Source organism: Homo sapiens, chromosome 1, assembly GCF_000001405.40.
Source record: "Homo sapiens chromosome 1, GRCh38.p14 Primary Assembly".
Taxonomy (NCBI): Eukaryota; Metazoa; Chordata; class Mammalia; order Primates; family Hominidae; genus Homo; species Homo sapiens.
In genome coordinates, this window is record NC_000001.11 from 184,160,705 (window position 1) to 184,173,712 (window position 13,008).

General features: G+C 40.1%; 2 annotated features.

Annotated features, from left to right (window-relative positions):
* Positions 876-955: an enhancer, noted in NCBI's record as "active region_2232". NCBI's record gives its function as "activates an Ori minimal core promoter by ATAC-STARR-seq in GM12878 lymphoblastoid cells {active_cell/tissue: GM12878}" and the evidence as "EXISTENCE:reporter gene assay evidence [ECO:0000049][PMID:35858748]".
* Positions 3,217-3,276: an enhancer, noted in NCBI's record as "active region_2233". NCBI's record gives its function as "activates an Ori minimal core promoter by ATAC-STARR-seq in GM12878 lymphoblastoid cells {active_cell/tissue: GM12878}" and the evidence as "EXISTENCE:reporter gene assay evidence [ECO:0000049][PMID:35858748]".

Consider the following 13,008-nt stretch of genomic DNA (forward strand, 5'->3'; position numbering starts at 1 on the left):
CACACATAAGCCCTCTTAAGGCCTAAGTTCAGAATGGAGACTGTCACTTCTGCCACATTCTATTGGCCAAAGCAATTGATAAGACAAGTTTAGTTTCAAGGGATGGAGAAATAAACTCCACTTCATAGGAAGAGCTTCAGAGTCACATTGCAAAAGGTGTGAATATAGTGAAGGGTGGAGAATTAGGACCAGATTTGCCATCAGTCTGCCACATTGAGTTAGTAGGAGATACAGTCAGAGAGATAATGGGGATCTAGAAAATGTGGGGCCTTGTAGGCCAGGGTAAGACCTTTGGCTTTTACTCTAAGATGAGAAGCCATTGGAGAGTTTCCAGGAGAGGAGCAACACAATCCTACTCTATTTTAATGAAATCACCCTGGCTGTCAGATTACGAATAGACTGAAGTGGGGCAGGAGACCAGTGAAAAAGACATTCCAGTGATCCAGGCAAGAAATGAGGGTGGCTGGGCCAGGAAACATAGTTAATAGAAGTGCTGAAAACTAGTCAGATTCTAGACATATTTTGAAGGTGGAGTTGTCAGGATTTGCTTACAATGCAAATGTAGGATGTTAGAGTAAAAGAGGAGAAATTTTGGAAAGAGCAACTAGAAAAGCTGTGTTGCAATGTACTGAGATGATTAAAGCTATGGGAGGAGGAGGCTGCAGGGGGAAATATTCTTGAAAAATCCCCAACTACTTGCCAGTTTTTTACTATCTTTGAATGCCATCAACTTGACAGGAAGATTTGACTGAAGTCAGCCAGGGACTCTCCCACAGTCCTTTCTACCAGCTTAGACTTGGGTTCTCACAGATCCAGAGATAACCTCCACTGTAACATACTGCGCAGCCTGCTTCATGTGTACAGCCAGCATCCTTGTCATTAGCTGTGACATCAGCTCCGACTGGTTGCAGCACCCACTCTTGTTTCATCATCCATTCTGATTGGTCAGAACCTTATTTAATTATTGTTCTCCATAGCAGAGCCAAAAGAAACACAATGTGAATGGAAGTGCCCCTCTTTCTAAAAGGCAAAGACCACGTCTTATCCAACTTTGCACTTCTAGATAAAAGAAAGTGAATAAGTCTACTTAGATTCTCTCCATTCATAGCAAAAGCATCTCAAGTTGCATACTCTACTAAGGACTGATGTAACATTTTTTTACTCTGAAGAAAAGGTGCATTGAAAGATAAAAATGATTCCAGGCATGATTATTATAATTCACCAAATATTCTGTGCAGAATTTTTAAAAAATCCCTGTATTTGAATAGGTAAGGTAAAAGTTAACTATTGAAAAGGAGGAATATTTGTGTTCCTTTTGACTCCTTAAATTCTCATCTTGGCTCATGGAGGAGGGGATTGACACCAAAATTTCAGTCCTATCTTAACATGAGAGGAAGTGCAGGGAGGGAGGCTCTGTTACAGTAGGTAGCTAGTCAGACATAAGCATGGCAGGAAAGGACTCCCCTTGCCCCACCAGGAAAGTCAGGCGACCATCAGGTGATGGTTAGGTGGTTGTTACAATATTTCTCTAAACATAACATTAATAATTGGTTGTAGCCAGCCCAGGGAAAGGCAGTCTCCCAATAGATAGAAAACACCTGAAACCGGTGATCAGCAGCTTCCTGATAAGATATCAGGAGTTGGGCGGGTAGGCTCTAGCATGTGCACTAAGGCAAAATGGCGCAACTTAACTGGTATATGACCTTCTAAGGACATGCAACTGGTAAGGGAAGAACGCCTCAAGTGAGCATGTGTACAACTCCAGTACAAACACTGCGCATGCTCCCCTCCCAGATGCTAGCAGGCTGTTGCACATACGGACAGCCCCTCCCAAGGGAAGAATCCGGGAGAAGGAATGCAAGACCCTGGGAGCATGCCAACATATAAAACCCTAAGTCAAAAGGTCCAACTGTGCACTTGATCTCTCAGTTCGCCCCCTTGGGCCTCTTCCAAGTGTACTTTACTTCCTTTCGTTCATGCTCTAAAGCTTCTTCTTTTTTTTTTTTTTTTTTTGAGACGGAATCTCACTCTGTTGCCCAGGCTGGAGTGCAGTGGCGTGATCTCGGCTCACTGCAAGCTCCGCCTCCGGGTTCACGCCATTCTCCTGCCTCAGCCTCCCGAGTAACTGGGACTACAGGCGCCCGCCATCATGCCCGGTTAATTTTTTGTATTTTTAGTAGAGACAGGGTTTCACAGTGTTAGCTAGGATGGTCTCCATCTCCTGACCTCATGATCCGCCCACCTCGGCCTTCCAAAGTGCTGGGATTACAGGCGTGAGCCACCGTGCCCGGCCTAAAGCTTTTTAATAAACCTTCACTCCTGCTCTAAAACTTGCTTCAGTGTTTCCCTCTGCCTTATACCCCTCTGTGGAGTTCTTTCTTCTGGGGAGTCAAGAAGTGAGGCTGCTACAGACCCATATGGATTTGTCTGCCTCCCTCAGACAAAAATGGCAACTCTGGGCTGGGCATGGTGGCTCATGCCTATAATCCTAGCACTTTGGGAGGCCGAGGCGAGTGGATCACTTGAGCTCAGGAGTTTGAGACCAGCCTGGGCAACATAGTGAAAACCTTATCTCTACCAAAAAATACAAAAATTACTTGGGCATGGTGGCATGTGCCTGGAGTCCCAGCTACTAGCTGAGAGGTGAGAGAATTGCTTGAGACCAGGAGGGCAAGGCTGCAGTGAGCTGAGATCTCACCACTGCACTCTAGCCTGGGGGACAGAGTGAGACCTTGCCTCAAAAAACAAGCAAACAAGCAAACAAATGGCAAGTCTGATTGGCAAATGTGTAATATTTACTAGGACATGCTTTATTAATGGGTAGGAATTGACTCTGCAGAGTGAAACCAGCCCAACGCATTCCCTTCACTGGGAGCATGCTGCCAAGGTGTGGGCCTTCACTCTGTCCCATTGCGGTTCATTTATGAAGCAGCCTTAGTCCTTGCAACTGGCTATAGCTGGTGAATTTGGGTGGGCTCTGCGTACCTAACTCTTCTCTCAGATACATGAGGTGAGCAGTTCCCAAAGTCTAGTTTGGGTGAAGAGTAGGAGGCCTCATTTGACCTCAGCCATGCTCTCTTGCATGCAGAATCACTTGGCCAGTGCCCCATCTAGCTCCCTTGTGTGAGCTCCCCATCAGTCAGAGATGACAGGGATGAGTCATCTCTGAAGAACTTGAAGCCCTAACATCAGCATCAAGCCCAACTGAGATATTTAAAGAACTAGGATTTTCTCTCATGTTAATCCTCAGCATAATCTCCCTTCTCCTTTTTTTTTTCTGCTTCTAGAATAGTCCTTCTTTATCCCTTTATTTCCTTTTCTGAGGCATATTTAATAGAATGTGAAATTGCATATTTATTAATGATGGCTTTTTTGGTTTCAAGTAACAGAAACACACTTGAGCTCTCCAAAAGCAAAGAGATATAATTTAGTTTAAGAAATAGGCCTGTCTCAAAACTCAAGGGCAAATAAATAGCTGAACTTCAGAAATAAATCAGAGCCTCCAGCGTAGTCAGGACCCACCCTCCCATCTCTAGGGTAGGTGACCACACATGCCAGTATGTGCCGGCCTATCCTTGTTGACATCTGTCACCCTGCCCCTTTCACTTTTGTGTCAGTCTTTGTCCATGAGGGGGCAGAAACCACAGTGACTTAAACAGAGAAAGTTTAATATAAATTTTTTAAAATTATGTTAAAAGAGCAATTATAATATATAAGATAACTCTATGTGGTACCCTAAGGCTGAGTACCCAAGAGAGTACCCAAGGAGGGATGAACATAAAACATAAAACAGGATGAACATAAAACAGGATGAGCCCTTCCCCAAGGCTCAGATTGCAACCACTGGATGGCAGAGAAGTTTGCTGATTTGCCCAGGCCAGAGCTGGTCTGCAGCCACTGGGCAAGCAGGAAGCAACCCTCTGGGGCACAGGTGGCACATTACAAAAACTGCAGCCAATGGCTTGGCACGTGAGCATGCAGAGGGAGTAGGGACACCATTGCAGACAAGGAGGTCTGGAGCCTGCAGTGTCTGTGGTAAGAAGGCCATGGGAAAGTGGGCATTAGGCCAGGACAGAGCTGCAAGGACATCAAGGAATCATGAGTTCTGGGCCTGTGGCTGGAATTAGAACACCACTGATGTTCCCACACCCACACTGCTGCCTGATGGTGCAGCCACCACTAACACCAGGAAGGCTCCTTTCTCCTGTAATGTCCCATCAGGGCCCTCTACTGAGAAAGCTTCACATGGTGAATGATCAAATCATTTTTTCTCTGTAAAGAAGAAATGCCCAATGGAATTCCGTCCATTATTGCAGAGCAGGTATTGAAGGGTGAATTTGAATCTGAAAGTCAGTAAATTATTAGCACAACTCTCAACAGTACCCTGGTAAGAATGATTAATTCCCAGAAGAGTGAAATCCATAGGGAAAGGAAATAGAATAATAGTTGCCAGGAGCTGTGGGGCTGTGGGAATGGAGTTACCCGTTAATGCTTATAGAGTTTCAGTTTGGGAAAAGGAAGACATTTTGGAGATAGACTGTAGTGATGGTTGCACAAAAACGTGAACATAATGCCACTGAATTGCATGCTCAAAAAGGGTTAAATTGTAAATTTTATATTTGGTGTATTTTACCACAATTTTAAAAATGATGAATTCCTGGTCACTCTATTCATCTCTCATCTCTGCTCTTCTCTGAACATCTACTTCCTTTTTCATTTCCGTTTCTTAGACCACACACTAAAAAATACAGCCACCAACAGCTCCTGGAGTTACCTCTCCTTTGCTTAAGAAACCAGACGGATGGCCGGGGGCAGTGGCTCATGCCTGTAATCCCAGCACTTTGGGATGCCGAGGTGGGCAGATCATGAGGTCAGGAGATCGAGACCATCCTGGCTAACATGGTGAAACCCCATCTGTACTGGAAATACAAAAAATTAGCCGGGCATGGTGGCGGGTGCCTGTAGTCCCAGCTACTTAGGAGGCTGAGGCAGGAGAATGGCATGAACCCGGGAGGCGGAGCTTGCAGTGAGCTGAGATCATGCCACTGCACTCCAGCCTGGGCAACAGAGAAAGACTCCGTCTCAAAAAAAAAAAAAAAAAGAAAGAAAGAAACCAGCCAGACTAAGTGCTGCACTCCCATCATTCTCTCTTTCAAATTGTCCTGGAAGATCTGCAGCAGCTTTGGTCCAATGCTCACTTTGGCCATTTGGGCCAGTGTCATGGTCATATGGTATAGACCTGTTTTCAGAGGAGTTTGTTTGTGGAGGGGGAAGGGAACCACACTGACAAAACCAGAGGAATCTACTATAATCATTTAATGACTCCTCTCCCCTCCAGTCTTCCAACTAAATAAAGAAGCCAGGAAAAAGTGAATATTAAAAAATTCACATTAAGAGTGAAACCAATAGTAAAAATCATGTCAGATCAGTCCATTTTTTTTCTTCTCTCCACCTATGTTAGTAGTATGAATCAGTAAGAGAGGCATATGGCAGAATAATCAGAATTATTTATCAAGCTAATTAACCATAGATTGTTTCCTAAGTAGTCACAAAATGGCAGAAATCTTTATATATATAGGGAGACATAGTACTTGTATTAAGATAATTAAAAATTATTTGTGATTGTTACTGTGATTATCATTTTTTTATCTTTGCTAGCACAACTCCTCAAACTGATATATATTCCCATCAGGTGCTTTAGAGAAGCACTGGCCTTTCTCTTGACAGGCAGTGTGCATTTTGGCAACAGATTTTGAATGGAAAAAATACAAGCTTTTCCCAAGCCCTAAACACAGAATATGCCATCTATTAGTTTGGATTTCTTCCTTAACGATCACTGTACCAATATGTGGTGGTTTTTCTAAGGAGAAATCGATCCAAATCTTTCTTTGGACTCAGAATCCAAGAAGCCTGAGTTTTATCCCTGGCTTGGTCACAGATGCACTGAAAATGGGCAAGTTACTTCCGTCTTTGTCTGAATTTCTCCATCTGGCAAATGTAGATTCTGACACTCACCATCAGATAATGTTTGCAAAATGTTTGATGGTCCTTGCTGGTAGGCAGTATGTAATTGCAAACTGTTGGTTCATTTTTTTTCTGTCCTAAAAATTCTTCTCTTTCTTGAGAAACTATTTTTAAATTAAAAATATCACTTTTAAAGTATGAGCACACAGTAATAAAAATTCAGTTGGTACTGGAGAGTAATTTTTAAAAAAGTAAAGGTTTTACTCTTTGGCATTCCCCAGAGGTAATAGCTTAAAATTTTTCTATTTTGAATCTTTCTAAGGCCAACCTCTACAATAATAACATTATTCCTTTACTTTTTATATATCAACTTCAAAGTATGTCTGATTGCTGGACCCCCTTGTGAAAGATGAAGCTCTTGGCTCATTTATACTTCCCCTTCAACAGCAACTTCCAGATATATTTTGTTTTTGTTATTCTTTTAGACACTTCTATAGCTTTATACAATATGTTCATCTTTCAATTTCTTTTAAAAGACTTATTTTTAATTATGGGTACATAATAGTTGTATATATTTGTGCATGTGATATTTTGATACAAGTATCCAATCTGTCATGATCAAATCATGGTAATTGAAGTATTCATCACCTCAAGCCTTTATCATTTCTTTGTGTAAGGAACATTCCAATTCTACTCTTTTAGTTATTTAAAAATATGCAGTAAGTTATTGTTGACTGTAGTCACCTTATTTTGCTACCAAATACTAGATCTTATTCATTCTAACTATATTATTGTACTTGTTAACCATCCTTTCTTTACCTCCCCCTCCTCCACACTACCCTTCCCAGCCTCTGGCAACCATCATTCCACTCTCTATTTCTGTGAGTTTATTTATTTATTTATAGCTCCCACATGTGAGTGAGAACATGCAATATTTGTCTTTCTGTGTCTGGCTTATTTCACTTAACACAACATCCTCCAGTTCCATTCATGTTGTTGCAAATGACAGGATTTCATTCGTTTTATTGCTGAATAATATTCTAATGTATATATTCCCCACCTTTTCTTTTTCCATTTATCCATTGATGAACACAGTTTGCCTCCAAATCTTGGCAATTGTAAACAGTGCTGCAATAAACATGGAAGTGCAGCTATCTCTTCAATATACTAATTCCCTTTCTTTTGGCTATACACCCAGCAGTGGGATTGCTGGATTCTATGGTATCTCTATTTTTTTTTTTTTTTTTTTTTGAGATGGAGTCTCGCTCTCTTGCCCAGGCTGGAGTGCAGTGGCACGATCTCGGCTCACTGCAAACTCTGCCTCGCGGGTTCACACCATTCTCCTGCCTCAGCCTCCCAAGTAGTTGGGAGTACAGGCACCCACCACTGTGCCCGGCTAATTTTTTGTATTTTTAGTAAAGACGGGGTTTCACCGTGTTAGCCAGGATGGTCTCGATCTCCTGACCTCATGATCCACACGCCTTGGCCTCCCAAGGTGCTGGGATTACAGGCATGAGCCACCGCACCTGGCCTATGGTAGCTGTATTTTTAGTTCTTTTTGAGAAACCTCCATACTGTTCTCCATGGCTATACTAATTTACATTCCCACAATAGTGTTCCAGGGTTCTCCTTTCTCAGTATCCTCACCAGCATTTGTTATTGCCTGTCTTTTGGATAAAAGCCATCTTAACTGGAGTGAAATGATATCTCATTGTAGTTTTACTTTGCATTTCTCTGATGATTAATGATGTTGAGCATTTTTCATATTCCTATCAGCCATTTTTATGTATTTTTTAAAGAAATGTGTATTTAGATAGTTTGCCCATTTTAAAATCAGATTATGTTTTTTTTTTTCCTATTGTTGTTTGGGCTTCTTATATATTCTGGTTATCAATCCCTTATCAGATGGGTAGGTTGCAAATATTTTCTCCCATTTTGTGGGTTGTCTCCTACCTGTGTTGATTGTTTCCTTCGCAGTGCAGAAGTTTTTTAACTTGATATGATCCCATTTGTCCATTTCTGCTTTTATCACCTGTGCTTCTGAGGTCTCACTCAAGAAATCTTTGTCCAGACCAATGTCCTGGAGTGCTTCCCTAATGTTTCCCTCTATTAGTTGTATAGTTTTAGTCTTAGAATTAATTATATAGTCCATTTTGATTTCTATTTTTGTATATGGCAAGAGATAGGAGTCTAGTATGGTGAGAGATAGGAGTCTAGTTTCATTCTTCTGCATATGGATCTCCAGTTTCCCCAGCACCATTTATTGAAGAGACTGTCTTTTCTCCAATGTACATTCTTGGCACCTTTGTAAAATATGAATTGACTGTAAATGTGTGGACTTATTTCTGGTTCTCTATTCTTTTCCATTGCCCTATATGTCTGTTTTTAAGTCAGCACCATGCTATTTAGGTTACTATAGCTCTGTAGTATAATTTGAAGTCAGGTAATGTGATTCCTCCAGTTTTGTTCTCTTTGCTCAGGATGGCTTTGGCTATTCTGGGTCTTTTTTGGTTCCATATAAATTTTAGATGTTTTTTCTATTTCTATGAAGAATGTCATTGGTATTTTGGTAGGGATTGCATTGAATCTGTAGATTGTTTAGGGTACTAGAGACATTTTAACTAAATTGAGTCTTCCAATCCATGAATGTAGAATATCTTCATTTTGGGTTGTCTTTTTCAATTTCTTTCATCAATGTTTCATAGTTTTCATTGTAGAGATTACTTCTTTGGTTGACTTTATTCTTGGTATTTTATTTTATTCGTAGCTATTGTAAATGAGATTACTTTCCTGGTTTCTTTTTCAGATTCTTTTCTGTGGGCATATAGAAATGCTACTGATTTTTGCATGTTGATTTTTTTATCCTGCAACTTTACTGAATTTGTTTATAGGTTCTAACTGTTTTCTGGCAGAGTCTTTAGGTTTTTCTAAATATGATTTTATATCGTCTGCAAAGAAGGATAATTTGACTTCTTCCTTTCCAATTTGGAGGCCGTTTATTTCTTTCTTTTGTCTAATTGCTTTGGCTAGGACTTCCAGTACTATGTTAAATAGGAATGGAGAAAGTGGGCATTCTCATCTTGTTACAGATCTTAGATGAAAGGCTTTCATTTTTTCCCCATTAAATATAATACTAGCTATGGGTTTGTCATATACGGCTTTTATCATGTTGAGGTATGTTCCTTCTATACTCAGTTTTTTAAGAGTTTTTGTCATAAAGGATGTTGATGTTGAATCTTATCAAATGCTTTTTTGGAATCAATTGAAATGATCCTATGGTTTTTGTCCTTCATTTTGTTGATATTATTTATCACATTTATTGATTTGCATATGTTGAACCATCCTTGCATCCCTGGGATGAATCCCACTTGATCATGATGGATGATATGTATATATTTTTTTCAAGATGGAGTCTTGCTCTGTCACCCAGGCTGGAGTACAGTGGCGCAATCTCAGCTCACTGCAACCTCCGCCTCCCAGGTTCTAGCAATTCTCCTGCCTCAGCCTCCCAAGCAGCTGGGATTACAGGCACCTGCCACCACACCTAGCTAATTTTTGTATTTTTAGCAGAGATGGGGTTTCACCATGTTGGCCATGCTGCTCTTGAACTCTTGACCTCATGATCTGCCCACCTTGGCCTTTCAAAGTGCTAAGATTACAGGCATGAGCCACCACGCATGACTGTGATGAATGGTATTTTTAATGTATTACTGAATTTGGTTTGGTAGCATTTTGTTGAAGATTTTTGTATCTGTGTTCATCAGAGATACTGGCCTGCAGTTCTCATTTTCAACTTTCCATTTCTTGATTCATTGATTTTAGCCAGTACCTCTTGACTTGCCTCTAAGACAATGAAGGATTTAACAGCCCTACCTTCCTGTCTCTGTCTCCTCCCCTAATGGCTATTCCCAATGTCACAGCTTCAGTTCATCACATAGTTAATTTTACATTGCCAAAATTTATAGAAGTTATACTTTCCTATATAATTATACTTTCTTTTTCTGTGTTTTGGCTGTTTGTTAAGTCTAAAAGTAGTCAGAATTTATATTTTATTTAAAAGAATATTACTATACACTGTATAATCAATTCCATTCAATTCCAATAAAAATATTTGTTTATTACATACTTTGGGCCAGACACTCTTCTAAGTGCTAAGGATACATCACTGAGTACAACAGGTGAACATCCTGCCTTTAAAGAGTTTACATTTTAATGTATGGTTAGACTCATAGAAAACATGATGCAACTCTATGTCATTTAACCAGTGCCAATAGAAAAATAAATGAACATACTTAAATTGGGAGAAGGAGAGAGGAAGTAGAGAAAACAGGGTGCTGAATTTTTATAATATATTATTAGATATGCCTTTACTTTCTGTCTATGATAACCCAGAATCCTCAGCATTTTAGAAGAAATGTATTTCTTTTTCTTAAAGATATTCTTTCCAAGGCCTCCTGACTTGCCGATCTAATTTGCTGTTTTCAATTTCATCCTGCTGAAGGATTCTTTGTTTAGTTTATTGTAGGGGTTTTCTTGCTTTTGCTTTTCCCGGTTTTATTTTGTATTGAATGGCTAGGTTGGTTGCTTTTATAATTCCAGGTCTTTCTCTTTTATTTATACTGCTGGAATAAATTCTCAAACAATTATTTCAAGAAGTATCATATATTCAGATAAGGACTTTATTTTCACCATTTCATTATCCCATTTGGTCGATAGTTTTTGCTGGGAATAGAATTATTTATTAAAAATCCATTTCTATCAGAACTCTGAAGGTATTCTCTCACACCCTGAAGAAAAGATCAGATGCCAACCTGAGTTTTGCTCCCCTGAGGCTATCCTGCCCTCCTATCAACCCATAAGTATTACATATTCTTTTCTTTAGCCTTGGCAAAAGAAATTTTACAAGGATATATTTAAGTGTGGGTCTTTTTATAAAACTAATTTTGCTGGGTATATTATAGTTGCCCCCTCTCATGAGACTTGCCTGTCTTCAGCTATGGAAAAATCCCCTTTATTCTATTTATTTATTTATCTATTTATTTAACTTTTACTAGTCATGTGCAGTAGTGAGAAGCAGGCAAAGAGTAGAACAAGGAGTTTGATCTGTAACTGACTGAACAATCAATTGAAATAACTCATTACCCTCAGACCAGCCTTTCTTTGTTCTTTGTTTCTTGGACAAATTCCTAGCCTTTTGGAAATCATACTGGGTAGATGTGGGCCTTCTTATATTGCTTCTCCATATTTATTCACTCTTCTCATAATTCATGTCTTAGCTTTCTCTCTCTCTCTCTCTCTCTCTCTCTCTCTCTGTTCTGGGAAATTTATTTAACTCTTTGGTCCAGTCTTTCCATTGAATTTTTTATTTTAACAATGACATTTTTAATTTCCATTAATTCTTTCTTATTCTCAGATAGCAGCCCTTTTTAATTTAATGGATGCAGTATCTTATTCGTTTAAGGTTATCTTCTCTTCTTTGAACCATCTGTTTCCTTTGCGTCCTTTGCTCTGCTATCCATAGGGGTCTTTGCCTTTTGTGCTGATCACTTTCTCTCCCTGTGTATGAAGGATTGGACTGATTGCCTCAGATAGCTGATATGGGTTGCCTCTGCCTTTTAGGGCCTACTCATCAATAAGAAGGCTGGCCTCATGACCTGGGTATGATTTCAGGGTCCTGGTTCCCCGGCTTCACTTTAGGGCATGTGGGCAGAGGGCTAGGCCCCACTGCCTCCCTATTTTACACTGCCAGAAGAGGCTCTGCTGTGAGGAGCCAGTCCCCACTCTGCAAGCCTTGTACCCTCTAGAGTGTAGTTCTTGGTTTTAGCATGAGGGCAGTGCCCCCACTATAGTCTGGGAGCTGGTTGTGAAAGAAGGTGAGGCCAATCTGGACAACCATCCTGTAAACAAGTCTCCAACCAAGCCCCCAATTTTGTCTCATATCCATGGATTCCAGTGTCACAGTCTTGTGAAATATTCTGAACTTTTACAATCTTCTTCTACGCGTCTTCTAAGCTGTGTCTCCCTTTCTCTTATTTTTCTACCAATAAAACTCTTCTGTCTTCCATTCCAGATGTCAGTAAAAATCTTCCTCCCCCTCATGCACCCACCTCTTATTTTCAATGTCTTTCTGAACATATTCCTATTTATCTCTTTTCTAACATTTCAAAAGATTTTAAGAGCAAAAAGGAAGATAGAGATGTATGCCCTACCCAGCATCTTGTATCAGAATCTCCTTTCTTTTTCCCTTATAAGATACTGAAAATATCACCTTAAATTGTGTTTCATTACTGTTGTTTTCAAGTATTGAAAAGAGACTTTTTGTCTTGAATAAGTTGGTGGCTATTTTTGTCTTTATTTCTGTCATAGCAGGTGCCAGTCCAATTGTGAATTTAAATATATTATCTCAGTAACTGGGTTCAAATTATGGGATGTGTCCAGCGCTGAGAATTGAGGGTTAGGCAAGAACCTCTGTCTTCTGAAAAATAAAATGTTCAACATGTGGGGTATTTGTTTCTGAGACACAAGTCTAAGAGTGCAGAGTTGTGGGGTTTTTCAACTCAAGTGAGTGTCCTTCCTTGGATTTGGTAGTGGTTTCTTAGATATGTCACCAAACACACAACCAACCAAACAAACAAACAAAACCTAGATCTTCATTAAAATGGAAAACTTTTGTGCTTTAAAGGACACTGCTTTATCTGAATATTTGTGTCCCTCCAAAATTCATAGGTTAAAATCTTAATCCCCAAGATAATGGTATTAGGAGATGGGGCCTTTGGAAGGTAATTAGGTCTCAAGGGCAGCATGTCATGAGTGGGATTACTGCCCTTATAAAGAAGGCCTGAGGATTCCCTGCCTCCTCCACCATGCCAGATTACAGTCAAAACAAAACTATCTATGAGGAAGCCTCGCTAGACAATCTGCCGGCACCTTGATCTTGGAGTTCCAATCTCCAGAACTGCTTGTGCGTTACCCAGTTTTATAGTATTTTGTTTTAGCAGCCCAAATAGACTGAGACAGAGACAGTAAGAAAGTGAAAAGACAACC